This window comes from Homo sapiens, chromosome 14, assembly GCF_000001405.40.
Source record: "Homo sapiens chromosome 14, GRCh38.p14 Primary Assembly".
Lineage (NCBI taxonomy): Eukaryota > Metazoa > Chordata > Mammalia > Primates > Hominidae > Homo > Homo sapiens.
In genome coordinates, this window is record NC_000014.9 from 45,228,489 (window position 1) to 45,245,254 (window position 16,766).

A 16,766-nucleotide genomic window follows, 5' to 3' on the forward strand; every position below is an offset into this window, starting at 1 on the left:
ATGTAGAATTATGTTTCAACTAGTTTATGTACTCCAATGTATAACTAAATTTCTGTAATTAAAATTTTGAGCAAAACTAAATTATACAGTATATAATATATGCTCAACAAACAGTTACTAAGCTGGAATTCTAGGTAAGTTAAAACAGATTCATAAAAAGTATAAAAACATTTTGTTATTTTTCTAGAAGCTATTCTTTAAAGATGTACTGACTAGTCCTTGCTCTTGAAAATATTACCATATAATGAAGGAAGCTTCTATTATGATAGGTCATTTATCATATACTCTGGTAAGTGTAATAACAGAGATAAAGTGCTTTAAGAGCAATACTATGATACACAAGTACTTTTTAGGCAAATCATTAAAACACATACATAAAATTACATTATCTTAAATTAACATGGGTTGGTACCTTTACATAACCTTAGCTATATAATGTTAGATGTGGTTTTGTTTTTTTCATGCAAAGTGCAATGATAATAATAAAATTAATAACAGCCCCAACCACCACTCAAAATAACTTACGTGATATGAAGATAGTGTCTAACAGTTTCATTAAGAAAAGATCTAATGAATTACACTAGAAAAATGATGCAATCATAACAGAATATATTAATATTTGCCCCTAAACCAAGATCCCTGGGGGTGGGGGTGGGGGGAATCATGCCTTATTCATCTCTAAGTTCCTAAAACTTAATAGACCAGGGTTCATGGAAAGCACTTTAAAAATGTTGACACCAGGTGCCATGTTTCATGTCTATAATCCCAGCACTTTGGGAGGCCAAGGTGGGAGGACTGCTTGAGGCCAGGAGTAGGAGACCAGCCTGGCAACATAGTAGGATCCCATCTCTACAAGAAATAAAAAACAAGCCAAGTGCAGTACTGTATGCCTGTAGTCCCAGCTACTTTGGAGGCTGAGGTGGGAGGATTGCTTGAACCAAGGAGGTTGAGGCTGCAGTGAGCCATGATTGCACCACTATATTCCAGCCTGGGAGACAGAGCAAGACCCTGTCTCAAAAAAAAAAAAAAAATTGCTGAGTGATTTTCCTATGGACACAGCTGGTATGTAAAATAGTTTACCAAACTTTAGTCTTTTAAATTTGTATTCATTTCTCTTGTCAATAGCTTTCTTAAACACTTTACTGATAATATTTGCAATTAAGATCAAATCCCTAATAAGTGCTGGCTCTAAGTGAAATGGGGTACAGGAAGAGGTAAGAACCAAGACTAAAGACCAACAAATGATTAAAAGTGAGATATACTGTCAAGGATTTTCTTGTTTTAGGAGTAAAAAAGTAGAGAGCAGGTGCCGAAGCCCCAAGGTTCCAGCATACTCAAGATGCTCCAGCAATAAAAATAGGCAATATGCCTAATTTAGAGAAAATAGGATGACTTTTGATAAAAAGAGGAAGGGTTGAGAAGGAACTAGGGCAATGGTAAGTGACTTTTTGCTAGCTCTGGGGAAGCAGTCATCTACATATTTAACGTATTCCTTTCTCTGCATTAGAAAGGATAAGCAAAGTTTCAAGGGTGGAAGTTCAAATGCGGGTTGGGGAGTGGTTAGAATAGGATACAGGTACATTTATATCCAGTATGGTGCTATGTTTTTGGCAGAAGGATTCCTGAACTCTTTCAAGTTTTGGAAGTTCTGTAAAGCTCTTAGTTACAAGTTTAAGGCAAAATCAGCAGAAATGTTTACAACATATTTTAGTAACTTTTACTCATCTATATTGTTTAGAAAGAGCTGTAAGTTAATGTTCATACATTTTTATACAAGTGAAGCAGATTATAGTGTTGGCAAAGAGCTGATACAGAACAGTTCTGCTCTGGCAAGTTGGTCTCCTTATTAAAAAAGAGAGAGGAAAAAAAGAACAGTTCTGCAATCTGTCGTTACAGCAATGGTCATTCAAGAAAAGCATTTTCTTGAATTCCATTTCTTCCATGAAAGGAAACAGATTTTGCCTATCCGTAGGAATGAAATTTAGTACAAAAATAATATATGTCTTTACAACAGGTTTGCGGTAGGTTGGCAGCTTAAATACTTTGGGTCAAGGAAATTAAAAGAACAATCATCTTTCATTAATTTGTTTACCAGTGTTCTTTGGTATTCTGATTAATAAAAAGGTAATTATTATTATTATTATTTTTTGAGACAGTGCCTCACTCTGATGCCCAAACTGGAGTGTTGTAGCACAAACATGGTTCATTACAGCCTCAACCATCTGAGCTCAAGCGATCCTCCCACCTTAGCCTCTCAAGAAGATGGGAACACAAGCATGCACTACCATGTGTGGCTAATTTTTTTGACTTTTAGTAGAGACAGGGTCTCGTCATGTTATCCAGGCTGGTCTCAAACTCTTGAGCTCAAGCGATCCTTGCGCTTCAGCCTCCCAAAGTGCTGGGATTACAGGCATAAGTCACTGGGCCCAGGCAAAGGTGGTATTTGATGAAGCAAGCTGAATCCTGACCATGATTAATCTGTATTATAGTTACTTCTCATATAGTAGTGAAGAAGCAGGAATGTGGGGGCAGTATAAGTCAAAGAATACTATACTATACACATTACTACTATACACATTATAAACCATAAACAATGTAGACCATGTAAGAACTTAACCACTGTACCAACAGAGAAGTAAAGACAAAACATACCCAAATTATCACAATCAAAATCGTAAGTGGTGGTGGCTCTTTGAGCAGTATCTGTTTGGTTTTCTCGTGCATCATTTTTCATTGATTTCCTTATGTCACGGACAGATCTTCCAGTTTTCTGTTTTTGTTTGGTCTTTTCCCTGTTCTTTTCACCAGCCCTTTAAAAACAATTATTTTATTTTTCCTTAATACTGATTCTCAAAAAAACAAAACAAAAAAAATCTTCATAAATAAATAAAAACCCCTCACATAAAGCTCTTTCCACCCAGGCAGGGTATCTTTAATCTTACATTATTAATCCTTCATGGCTTTCACTCCCTTCCTTCACAAAGAACTGAGGTGTAACATCTTAAGTCAGAGGACTCAAATATGATCTCCAAACTGCTTCCTACTATATGCTCTTATAATTCCTACTTAAACTGATATTATAGGAAAACTACAGGACAACTGCCAGTTGCCTGTTTTTGTAAATGAAGTTTATTAAAACACTGCCATGCTAATTCATGTATATATTATCTACGGCTGCTCTTCTGCTACAAAGGCAGAGTTGAATAGCTGCAATAGGGGCAATATGCCTGCAAGAATATTATCTTTACAGAATATGCCCTTTACAGAAAAAAACTGCCAGCCCCCGTTACCAGTTATTATATTTGTGCTGTGATTAAGTTTAAAGTCCGTATCCCCTATGAGCTCCACAAGGGCAAGAATAAATCAAATTCTTCTGTCTTTCACCAGCATCAACTATAGTGTCTGTAAAGTAGCAGACACTCCATAACTACTGAGAAAATGAATGAAAAAAAAAGGAGGAAGAACTGCACATTAGTATTTAATAACTGCATGCCTTCTGAAGGGTAAATGATTAGAATTACTCTTTGACATATGTCAAAAGTTTTATTTTCCTTTGAGATTTACTAAATACAACAGAAGTTCTAGTAAAATGTTATTGCTTCTGAAATGCTTCACAGACCAAAGCAAACTCCAAAACTGGCATTTCAGGCGGGCGCGGTGTCTCACGCCTATAATCCCAGCACTTTGGGAGGCCAAGGTGGGTGGATCAGGAGGTCAGGAGATCGAGACCATCCTGGCTAACATGGTGAAACCCTGTCTCTACTAAAAATACAAAAAAATTAGCCAGGTGTGGTGGCGGGCGCCTGTAGTCCCAGCTACTCGGGAGGCTGAGGCAGGAGAATGGCGTGAACCCCAGAGGCGGAGCTTGCAATGAGCTGAGATCGCGCCACTGCACTCCAGCCTGGGCGACAGAGCCAGATTCCATCTCAAAAAAAAAAAAAAAAAAAAAACAACAACAAAAAAACTGGCATTTCAAACAAATACCTAAAACAGGTGCACTTAATTAAATGTAAATTGTACCTCAGGCCAGGCACAGTGGCTCATGCCTGTAATCCCAACACTTTGGGAGGCTGAGACAGGCGGATCACTTGTAGCCAGGAGTTCGAGACCAGTCTGGCCAACATGACGAAACCCCATCTCTATTAAAAATACAAAAATTAGCTGGACATGGTGGCACACACATAATTAAATGTAAATTATATCTCAATAAAGTTGACTTCTAAAAACATAAAACAACATTTTACCTTAATTGTTCCAGAAAATTATCAATGTGCTCTTTCCAATTTTCTGGAAATCCAAACATAAATTTCCTTATGAGATAATTTGGATATCCTATTTAAGGATAAACAACAACAAAAAGTATTTAAAAGCCTAGAATTTTAAACAGATATCATTAATTCATTACATCATTCAAGAAATATGCACCTATTGCTTAATATGTGCCAGGTACTATTATAGATATTCAGAATTCGGCAGTAAACAAAGCAGACAAAAACTCCTATCCTCATGGAACTTGGCTTCTAATGTGGAAAAAAGTAGCTAACCAATAAGTACAATATCTTGTTTGTTAGATGGCTATGCAGGGACGGTGGACAGGTGTATCGATATGTCCATGGGGGAGTAAAGGGGTGAACAGCAATTTAAAAAAGGATAATCAGGGAAGTCTTCAATGAAATAGCATCATTTGAACAAAGTGATTGAGCTATGTGGCAATATTGGGTTAGAATACTGGAAACAAAACATAAAGGGAAAGGCAAGAGTATACCTGGCCTGTTTGAAACAATTAGGAGTCCAGTATACTTGAAGTGGCATGAGGAGGGGGTTAGAACTTGGGAGGCCACTCAGATGGGTAACAGAGGCAGTAGGAAGCATGAGAGATTATAATATAAGGCCTTAGAGTCATTTTATAGAACTGACCATTTACTTTGGACAAGATGAGAAGCTATGGAAAGATTCCAAGCAGAGGAGCTACAGGATCTAATTTACTTTAACTGGACTGCTAAAGCAAACTGCTATTTTGAGAAGAACCTGTGGAAGAGCAAGGGAAGAAAGAATGAGACCAGTTAGGAGGCCACTGTAATGATACAAACAAATTATGAGGAAAGTCTGGACTACAGTGATGCTGCAGAGGTCTGAGTTTGGGATATATTTTGGAGATATATTAATAGGATGTACTGACACACACACACTGATGTGGGTATGAGAGAAACTGAGAATTTAAGGATGCCTCCAAGAATTCTGGCTACTGGACACATGGAAAGATGGGGAAGAATATAGGTTAAGCAAATTTAAGGGAGAAGATCAGGTTTTAGATTTATTAAGTTTGAAATGCCTACAGACATCCTAGTGGAGATGTCAAATAAGCAGGTGGAAAATGAATTGGGTACTAAGGGGAGAGGTCTTGGTTTGAGATATAAAATTGGCATTCATCATCATATAAATTATATTTAATGACTAAAAGGAATCAGCATACCACGCAGTGTATTAAAAGAAAGAGCCCCAAGCTACCCCATTATTAGAAAAAATGGAGAAATACACAAAGAAACTAAGAAGGAAGAGGCAGTCAGGCAGCATAAAAATTGGAATATGGTATTAGAGAAGCTAAGTAAAGTATTTCAAAAAGGTAAGTATGATTAACTCTGTTCAAAGTGTATACTGAATGTAGCAATGTGGAGGCCACTGGTGACTTTGATACAGGTTGTTTTGGTGAAGAACTGGAGGTTAAAGAGAATTCAAGAAAAAAAAAAAGAAAATTCAAGAGAAATTAGATTTACAGAAGTAAATGTAAACAAACTATATGAATTGTTTTGCTATAAATGAGAGCAATACTGGCTAAAAGGAGAAATGTGGTTAAAAGAGAAATAAAAAAAAAAAGGAGAAGGGAGTGTTACTGGAATAACATCCTTGAGTAAAAGAGAAAATGAGAGCTAGTGTACAAATGGAGAGGCTGACATAGACAGTAACGTGCTAGTTCATCCATAATAAAAGCAGGTGTTAATCCAAGCAGGTGAGTAGATGTGGTAAAGAAATATCCTGATTGTTCCTCTTGCTCAGGTGCTCTGCCCTCTCCCCTACTTTGCCCATCTGAGAGAGGGTAAAAAGGAGGAGGTATTGGAGATTTGTCAAAATATGAAGGAGTCATCAGGAAGGTTGGGAGAGTGAATGAATTAGGGAAATATGGTAGGATACCAAGCAGCACCAAGAAACCACTAAGGGACTGTAACTTGTTGCTAGTAAACATAAATTTAGACTACTTGGATGTGTTTTTCTCCAGTTATATTCAGCTGTGTGCAAGGCATAGGTGGAAAATTAGGTTACACCAGGACTGGGGTGGTGCCAGGTGGGTTCAACAAAGAGAGGAATCAGGGAGTTAAATGATATTCTTATAACATAATTCCTTGTAAATAAGGAGTATTTCATTTGATATTTTAAAACTCACACAAATTAGGCTGGGCACAGTGGCTCATGCCAGTAATCCCAACACTTTGGGAGGCTGAGGTGGGCAGATCACATGAGGTCACAAGTTCAAGACCAGCCTGGCCAACATGGTGACACCCTGTCTCAAAAATCAGCTGTGCACTGTGGCACACTCCTGTAGTCCCAGCTACTCGGGAGGCTGAGGCATGAATAATCGCTTGAACTTAGGAGGTGGAGGTTGCAGTGAGCTGAGATCACGCCACTACACTCCAGCCTGGGCAACAGAGCAAGACTCCATCTCCAAAAAAAAAAAAAAACAACCCCAAGCCTCTTAACACTTCTGTATCCATTCCCTGGGGGCATATGTGGATCCTGTGCATGAAAAGGACTGGCCACAGGAAACCACGATGTTGTTCCAGGCTTATTTATCCACAGCTACCTGCAGTTGCTATTGCATCATTTTTTTGTGCCATGTTGGAAGTGGTCATGCACAGGACCAGCCTGGTGAAACCCCGTCTCTACTAAAAATACAAAAATTAGTTGGGTGTGGTGGCAGGCACCTTAGTCCCGGCTACTCAGGAGGCTGAGGCAGGACAATCACTTGAACCCCGGAGATGGAGGTTGCAGTGAGCCGAGATCGTGCCACTGCACTCCAGCCTGGGTGACAGAGCAAGACTCCATTTCCAAAAAAAAAAAAAAAAACAAAAACACATAACTTATTAGAAATTGTCAATAAGAGTGATAAAAATCAGAAAAAAAATTACCAGTTTTATATAATATCAGTTGTTTTGATTTATTCATAATTTAAAAATACCTAATTAAAAGTTAAAAAAATGTGTATTACTGTGAGAAACATGGTTAACTGCTTTACTTCTTAAAATAACTTATCAATAATGACAGTCATTTACCTGCTTCTTTCATGGAAATTTGGTCTATCATGCCTTTTAATATATAAACGTTGCCTGATATAGTCCTAAGTTTGTTGTGCTCAATCCGCTCTATAATTACATTACTGTGCCAATATATGTTAGTGACGTCTCTAGGAAAAAAAAATAGTTTTGGTAAGGTCAAAATATTCATATAGAAATTTCTAACAGAAAATAATTTTACACTTTAGCTACAGCAACACTAAGAATGTTATTAGTCTAATTACAAAATATTTGAAGGCCAAACATTACAGCAGAACTCAACTGCTTGGCTATTGTAATCCTCAGATTATGTACCAAAAAAACTATACTGTGGCCAAACCATGTCCCTCCTACAAAATATTATTAGTAAGGGAGCAGAGGCCTTGTCTCAGTATCTGATGCTGGCAATAAATACTTGCAGCTTCAGCTTAACTGATGCTAAGCTTCCAAAGAATGATCTCCCTGTTCCTCTCCTTCAGGGTCTATACTGTGTTAGCTTTTATGCAGAAAGTAGATTGGATCCAGCTAATCTGGTGTTTTTTCACCCTGGCTATACAGCCAAATGTTTTTACCTTTCATTTTGGAAGGTACCAAATGAGGTTTAAGTGGGGAAAAAAGAAATTACTGTATCAAATCACTGACCCATAAATCTATTCTTTATATTTCTTTAAAGAATATGAAATAGAAAAAAATATGAAGATGTATTAGATAAATGATGAACACTGTCCCATTCATCAGATAACTAATAATAATAAACATACTGATGATAAGCATGACGAATAAGGAAATCAAGTTACTTTTCTTTGGTCAACTGGGATTAAACTCACACATTATACCTTAATACAGTATTACTTCTCTTCAATTCTCTTTTGCTTTATTTACTTATTTAAGAAACTTTTAAATAACACTCAAAAAGCACTGTTCTCTAGCCTTTCATTTAATCCTCAGCACAACTAACTAGGTAAGTAATACCATTATCCATATTGCACAAATGAAGAAACTGAGACTGACAGGGGATAAATAACTTGTCCAGGTAATACAGATAGTAGGCAGCAGCAATGGAATTCCAACAAAGGCAATCTACACTGCATCTTTAATAGTAAGGAAATGGGCATAAAGCAGACAGATAAAGAATGGACAATACAGATTTTACACATTCACTTATAAACTTACATATGAGTACCTTAAACAGTTATAACTTTTTTTTTTTTTTTTTTTGAGACAGAGTCTCGCTCTGTCACCCAGGCTGGAGAACAGTTATAACCTTTTATTACAAATATTTGTAGCACTAAGAAACTGGTCTTGAAGAATAGGAAATGGTGCTAATAGAGTAGCAGAATTAGGTAAAGCCCACTTACCTGGTGATGCTCTCACTTTAGGGAGAACCAGAAAGTGCCAATGATTACTTAATATGTAGCCGTATGGCAAAGTTTTAAGTAATTTTGATTCCTTTTCTGGATCAGTAATTTATATCTGGTTGTCCCAATTTAGATGTGAGAATCTGGACTGAAATGCATGTAGTAAATATTAACTGATCATATATAATTAAGCAGATAATACCAGTCCACTTATTAGCACCTCAGAAAAAAATAAACCACTATACAAATTTGAACTGTCATTATTTTAAGAAAAACTTGAGTAAACATGCAAAAACAAGAAAGCTGGTAGCAATCAACATGGCTAGGACCTGCACAGTAATTTTACTTTTTTGCCTTCAGTTCATAACCTTGTTAGGTCTTTGCTTTGTGGAGGATGCTATTTCTCATGCATTAACTCTTAAGTGCTTACACATAACTAAAGTTTTATTAAAAGAATAATGAAATAGTATACTTACATCAATTTTCCTTCTACACATATAGCAGTATTATTATTGATGCTTTTAATCATCCATTCCTGTAGCTGAACTACCTAATCAAGTATAAAACAAAGAACATATTTCCTGTATTACTTGCAGCACAAGCATTACAAAATTAACTTACATTAAAAGAAAAAACTTGTCTAAGTAATCCAAATATTCCTTAGTGTCATCGATGTAAGATTCACATTCTATTCTAAATAGCAATAGGTAAAATTCTTGTATACAATGAAACAGAAAAGAAAAGACTGAATTCAGGTTGTATTGCATTTGTTCTACAATCAAGAAGCAATTATACTTCAAATACTCTATCACCAAATCTCAACTGGTGGGGACAAAAATCATGTAAAATCCCAAGGTACAGATTAAAACACCAAGTCCTGCAAAAAGCCCAGTAACTTGGAGTGAAAAGGAGTTAGCTATGTTTTGTCCTTAAAAAATTAAGAGTTTTTTTTTTTTTTTGTAAAGTTTAGACCTGTATTCCAATTTTCTACAAACTAAAAAGGTAACTGCTGGTAATCTAGATTTAACAGTATTTTATTCCAAAGTAAACATCTGAATAGCTCAGAGAACTCTTTATTATCTTACTACAAGTAAAATATCATTCTAATGGAAAACATTTTATGACAATCTATGCAAAGAAATTCTTGAATATAAATTTCATAAAATTTAAGATTGAACTACTTCTGATGAGAAAAAAAGTCAAAATTTATGGAATAATTTGAGTGGCAATTTACTTTATATGTAAAGTTACACATTTACAAATAAAAACAAATTCTCCAGTGGTAGTTTTATACTGAGTCAGGAAAAGACATTAAAATGGGACAGTCTTTGTTATGGCACATGTTGATTATGTTCATTTAAAAAATTATAGGTGATGGCTGAGGACAGTTGCTTAAACCTGTAATCCCAGAACTTTGGGAGGCCAAGTCGGGAGAACTGTTTGAGCCTAGGAGTTCAAGACCAGCCTGGGCAACATAGTAAGATTCCAAAAAAAAGTTTAAAAATTAGCTGGGTGTGGTGGTACACACCTGTAGTCCCAGCTACTGGAGAGGCAGAGGTGGGAGGATCACTTGAGCTTGGGAGGTCGAGGCTTCAGTGAGCCTCAACAGGTGATGGAACAAGACTCTGTCTCAAAAAGTAAATACATAAAAATAAAAAATTATAAGTAGGATAGTTTATAAGCCATGGGTCTCAGTAGTAATGGCGAGGGGATCCACCATCTTGTCTTACCCTCACCCAAGACACAAATATGGCTTCTGTTTTTAAGCCCCTTTTAAATGTTTCTTTCTGAAAAAAGTAAAAAATTATAGGTAGGACTTGGGGAAGTAACAGTAAATAATACTCTCTTTTTGCCTTCTCCCACATTTGGAACTACCTGAGATATATCAACGCACCAGTCAGATGGAGATAATAATCCTGTACCATACTATTATACTGCTTATATAAGATATCAAAATGTTCATTCATTATTCATTCAACAAATATTTGTTGAGTTCTACACACTGTTTTAGATAGTGGAGATTGAGTGAGAAAGTAAACAGCTGCCCCTCTTAGGGCCAACATTCTTGTGTGTGTGTTAGGGTTGGGGGTGGAGGCAAGCAGGATAATGGCATCTAAACCAATATGAAAATGTCAGGTGGTGGTAATTACTATGAAAAATAAATAAAAGGCATTAGATAAATGAGGTGCTTTTTAAGACAAAACAGTCAGGGAACGTCTTGGAAGAGAGAACTGAATAAAGTGAGCAATGAGTCACATGGATATCAGCAAAAAGATTCTTCTAAGCACAGAGAGTCAGCGCAGAGATCCAGGTAGGCAGCATGGAAGGCATAATTTGAAAGGAGTAAGTGAGAGGGAATAAGTGGTGAGGTTGGAGATCTCCAGGATTAACTAAGTACAGCTCGGTAAACCATGGTAAAGGCTTAGTGTTTTCTATTGAGATGACAAGTTACTGGGGATTCTGAACAGAACGACAAAATTTGATATTTTAAGGGACTGTTGGGTAGAGATGAGACTATATGAAGATTTTAGCTTGTCTGGAAAACAGACTGAAAAAGGAGAAAAGCAATACTGGAAGCAGGGAGACCACTAGGCTATGACAGTCATCCCTGGACTAGGAGGTAGTGGTTGAACAGTGAGAAGAGGCCGCATTCAGGAGAGTAGAGCCAATGGGATTTCTTCATGGTTTGGATGTGGAGCATGAGAGAGAAACAAGAGTCCAAGATGAATCTAAAATTTTGCCTAAATACTGGGGCCAATGGTATTACAATGTACTAATACAGGACAATGGAGAAGGTATGGTAAAGAAATCAAGAATAAGAATCTCACATTTTCTCACATTTTCAATTTGAGATGCCTATCTGATATCAATAGAAAAGTCATATAGACAACTGCACATGAGTGTGGAGTTGAGAAGAATTTTCTGTGCTGGAAACATATTGGAGAGCTATCAGCATAGAGATGGAATTTAAAACTATGACACTGGAAATACAGCCTAGAGAGTGCGTGTAGGTAGAAAAACAATTTCTAGGGCTGATCTGCAGTAATTCCAACATTTTTAGGACTGATTCTGGGGAAAGAAAGAGGAAATAGCAAAGAGGACTGAGAAGGGATGGGCAGCAATGTAGCAGAAAATCAGGAACGATCCTGGAATACAAAATATAAAGCGTAACACTTCTTTAGAAAGACATTTTGGGGCCAGGCGTGGTGGCTCACACCTGTAATCATTTCCTTTTACTTTAGGTGGTAAGGACATTGCCCTTTCAATTGCCCCCTCAATTTTCTCCCTACCTACACGCACTCTCTAGGCTGTATTTCCAGTGTCATAGTTTTAAATTCCATCTCTATGCTGATAGCTCTCCAATATGTTTCCAGCACAGAATATTCTTCTCAACTCCAACCATGAATACACAGACCTCTTTCAAATGTCTTGCTATATAAGGGAAACAAAAAGTAGTGTAGCAGCTGGAGTTGGACAGGGGATAAAGGAAAGATGGGCCTTTGTTTGCATGTTTTTAAAAAATGCAGGCCATGTTTCAACATGTTTATATGTTAATGAGAATAATCCAAAAAAAAAAAAATTTAGCCGGGCATGGCAGCATGTGCCTGTAGTCCCAGCCACTCAGGAGGCTGAGGCAGGAGATTTGCATGAACCTGGAAGGCGGAGGTTGCAATGAGCTGAGATTGTGCCACTGCACTCCAGCCTGGGTGACAGAGTGAGACTCTGTCTCCAAAATAAATAAATAAATAGATAGATAAATAAATAAAGTTTAAATATTTTCCAATAATGGGATTTCTAGCGAATATATTGAGATATAAAACCATAACTGGTATGTCACTCTTTAAAATTTAGATGGCTACAAGGGAGGCTTAAGTGGGAGGATTGCTTGAGCCCAAAAGGCTGGCCTGGGCAACAGAGTAAGGCCTCATTTAAAAAATTAATTATTAATTAAAATTTAGATGGAATTTATACATGATCTCAACTTGATAACCACCATCATACATTTAAGAATTAATGGCTGGATGCAGTGGCTCACGCCTCTAATCCCGGCACTTTGGGAGGCCGAGGCGGGAGGATCACTTGAGGTCAGGAGTCAGAGACCAGCTTGGCCAGCACGGTAAAACCCCGTCTCTACTAAAAACACAAAAATTAGCTGGGCATGGTGGCAGGCGCCTGTAATCCCAGCTACTCAGGAGGGTGAAGTAGGAGAATCGCTTGAACCCAGGAAGTGGAGGTTGCAGTGAGCCAAGACCACGCCATTGTGCTCCAGCCTGGGTGACAGAGGAAGACTCCAGCTCAAAAATAATTAATTAATTAATGGGCAAACCTCTAACAATTGGAAATTTTACACTGCATCTTCCTCCTTAAGCTTGTATTTCCATTCCACTTCCTTCAGAGAATTTGTCCTAATGTAACAGTTTAATGCTCTAAAGTCTTTCATTGATTACTCTGTATTTAATTTGGGAAAAATTCTCAAATCTTCAGATGCTACAGTTCCTTTCTATCTTAATTAATCTAACTATTTTAATAGTACTGTAAGTATCAGAAAAAAAAGAGTAGGAATGAATTCAATGTTCATCACCAAAAGGAACAAGTAAATTATTGAAGACTACACAACTAGTAATAGAGCAAAATAAGACTTAACATGTGGGTCTTCTTACATTCAACTCACTGTTCTTTTCACTATGTCACACTGTCACTGCAGTAAATAATAAAACATGATAATGAAGACACTGTTAATAATGAAGCATACAGGTTCAAATCCTAGCTAGAAAAAAAATAATGAGAGAACATTAAAAGCTCAAGCTCTTGAAGAACGGGGTAAAAATAGAAATAAATATCTGTCTTAAAAGTTTTCCCACCTGATTTTTTTTAAGTCCATTTGTAACAGTTTGAAATATTCTTGGAGGAGAAAGCTTTGAAATATTTCTTTTTGACCTCCGAGGTATTGTTATATGAAGTCTTGGTGTTGCAAGTACAATTTTACATGTATCTTTCATGGAACCTGGAAGACCTGTCTCTCCAGGCACTGTTTTTCCATTTCCTTCCTTAACTTTCTGTTGCGAAGTCCCTTCTGTTGTCCTCTCACTATCAGAAACCATTAACAGGCTGCCATTTTTAATAGGAATACAATTAGTACTGAGAGTCTCAGCATTAGTATTTTGAAATTGTTCATCAGCAGAATCAACGCTTTCTAAAACAAACGTGTCCTTTTTGGATTTAGTGGTTGCAACTATACTCTCCTTTGAGTGAAAAATTTGTTTAGCCAACTGAGCTCTAGTTAATGTCTTGTTTCGGGCTTCTACAGCCAAAAAATTTTCCTGTTCTTGGTTCAGAGTTGGAAGTTCTGCAAAAAATACAAAACAAAACAAAACAAAACAATTATAGAAGGATCACAGGAAATTAAAAGAGATAAATTTAGGTTAGGAACGTTCCACCCTCCTGCCCAGTCTTTCTCTGAGTGTCTCTTTTACGATTCAAGCTTTTGTCCACAGCTAAAGTTTAATGCCCACACAAGGAAAGTAATTACCTAGAACATTTAACAATATACTTAAGTAACAAACTGAAAACAAACCAAAAATAGTTTACCGTAAGTTAAATTGTGCAGTGGTGCTTTCTTTTCCTGCTGGCACTGAATCTTTTGTTTGACCGGGAGGAAAATATCATTATTTGATGATTCTAGAGGAACTCCTTGGACTGAGGCTAAGGTTTTATTTTTTAAAGAAAGAAGAAGTTGAATTGTATTAGTCACTAAGAAAAAAACAGCTTTTAAAATTCTTGAAATAAAGACACTTAGATTTAGTAATGATCAGACCAGTATAGTACTTTTGCAATATATGACAGTTACATATATTTTTATATTTTTGGCTGTATTATCTTCTCATACCTTTACCCCATTCTCTATACCAACATTACGGTGAGGAAGAATTTTTTAAAACCTTCTCTGAACACAACCCGCCAGCTCTAGACAAAAGTATTGGACTTAGAAACCTAGAGATCTGAAATTCTGGTGCTGCCACAAATTGGATATGTATATGTTAAGATTACAATATAAAGTTTCACCCAGTCTTGAAAATTCCGATTCTGTTTCTGGTTGCTGTGAATTTCTAAAGCATGAAAGATAGTCGAAGAATTGTAACTTATTCTTTAAAAATTAAAATGTTGAGATGCAACAGCAGACTCAGCCATAATTTATATCCTTTAGACAATTTTTAGTAGGCCTTCAAATGCTCAGAAGTTGTAGGTTTCTCAACTAGATAAATAAGGACTAATAGCACTGCTTGCATCTTATTCTGCTTTACCTCCTAGATTTTTAAAGTTTAATGTTTCTCGAATGTAGTTTCTTTCACACAAAAAGGGGATGATAATAGACTTAAAATTTGAGCCTGAGAAGAATTATCTTATATGTTTAATTTTAAATTTTATACTTGAAAAAACTGGTAGTGACTATGCTTTAATAAGTATGCCACTTTGGTCTCAGAAATCTTAAGATAAAGATTTCATTATAACAACGTGTCACAAAAAGAAACAATAAGTTTCTATATCTTTAACTCATTCTACAAGAAATGGCAAGGCAATTCAGTAGTAATTCAATCAAATGCAATAAGTTATATTTATTCACTTATGTGGGAGTCCCAGGTTCATGTAGACTCTCTAAAAGGTTTCTAAAAGTATATACAAAATTTGTGTTTCTATTTGTGTTTATATTTTCTGGGGGAAAGGGTCACCAGATTCTCAAAATGGTCAGGTATTTCTTACTCTCAAATGCTACCTTATTATATTTAAAAACTTTAATATGTATTATTTCATTTGCTTCTTCCTTTTCTCCCAGGCTATATGAGAAATAGATGACTTTGTGAGTCTCCCCACTTCTACCCCCAAACTCCCTTAGAAAACTCTGTGTTAGAATATGTCACTGTCTTGGAAATGCAACAATATACCCACAACCTACTGTGTAGTGGTTAAGAACATGGGCTTTCTAACAGATACCTATATTCAGTTATCAGCTTATTACTTGCTACCTATGAGACATAGAGCAAGCGGACTTACACTCTTTACAATCCCCATTTATAGACCACTAATGGGCATCTACCCATGTGTTCGTTGAAAGGATTAAAAGAGATAATACATGTAAAATATCTTTCATTATCAGTGACTGAAACTCATTAAAATCTCAATTTTAATTGTTGTAGTGTCATCTTTCCAGATCATTCTCTCAAATCCAGTGACTATCCAAATAAAATATACACTTCACAATCCCTCATCTCCTTCAGATCCTTTGCCCTCATTAATCAGCTTAAATTTCATTATGACTCCTTCACACACACCCTCCTTTGTCCTTCTGTCACTTCATTCTATTTGGCAAAATTACAACCCAGTTAAATCCAACTCCCCCCAATTCTACACCAGCATCTTAGCAGCAAAACAGGGCTAAAGGAAAACTCACAGCCATATTTACTGGTTCCATTTTAAATTCATGTTCACAAATCTTAAACAGCTCTTCTGTGTTACCCAGGAAATCAAATTTAGGCCTCTCCCAAACTATTCAAATCTCTACCTCCTCAAACTTCAATACCTGTTTTCCATATTGCTCAGCTGATGACTTTACTTATTTCAAATTATTTGTGAAGTCATAAAATAATAATCCACCAACATCTGTGTAAACGGCTTTCTTTTCAGTTAACAATTGGTCTGTCTGTGTTCTGGTCAAACCGCTAATGATGCATTAGATTATATTTCCTCTCAACTACTGAAGGGCATCATACTAGCAACTTCAATTTTTTTTCTTCCTACTCCATTATTCCCAACAGCATATAAAAATGCTGTATTTCACCAAGTATTAAAAATGATAAAACTTTAAACTACAATTGCCATTATTTCTTTGCCAGCCTCAAAAAGAGCTGTCTATGTTCACTATTGCCAATTCCTCTTGTCACATTATCTCTTGAACCCTTTCACGCAATGTTTTCGTTGCTACCATTCCACCAAAGCTGCCCTCCATCAAAGTCACCAATGACCTTCACATTGCTAAAACGAGCAGTAGAATCTCAGCCTACTTGACCAATTAGGAGCATTAGACAGC

The 16,766-nt window shown here is 36.5% G+C and overlaps 1 protein-coding gene across 8 annotated transcripts in view; it reads right to left on the minus strand.

The window, feature by feature from the left end:
• MIS18BP1 (MIS18 binding protein 1) overlaps nucleotides 1-16,766 on the minus strand; it is a 50,013-nt gene that overhangs the window by 25,299 nt on the left and 7,948 nt on the right. For 7 of the 8 annotated variants that reach the window (NM_018353.5, XM_005267833.6, XM_047431546.1 and 4 more), the window contains 6 exons: nucleotides 14,273-14,386; nucleotides 13,546-14,030; nucleotides 9,160-9,233; nucleotides 7,326-7,456; nucleotides 4,245-4,332; nucleotides 2,653-2,810 (listed from right to left, as the gene is read on the minus strand). In NM_018353.5, coding sequence (NP_060823.3) covers nucleotides 2,653-2,810; nucleotides 4,245-4,332; nucleotides 7,326-7,456; nucleotides 9,160-9,233; nucleotides 13,546-14,030; nucleotides 14,273-14,386 — 1,050 coding nt within the window. Of the gene's footprint in view, nucleotides 1-2,652; nucleotides 2,811-4,244; nucleotides 4,333-7,325; nucleotides 7,457-9,159; nucleotides 9,234-13,545; nucleotides 14,031-14,272; nucleotides 14,387-16,766 lie in introns of those variants that run through there. The other variant, XM_011536923.1, reaches the window with a different exon arrangement.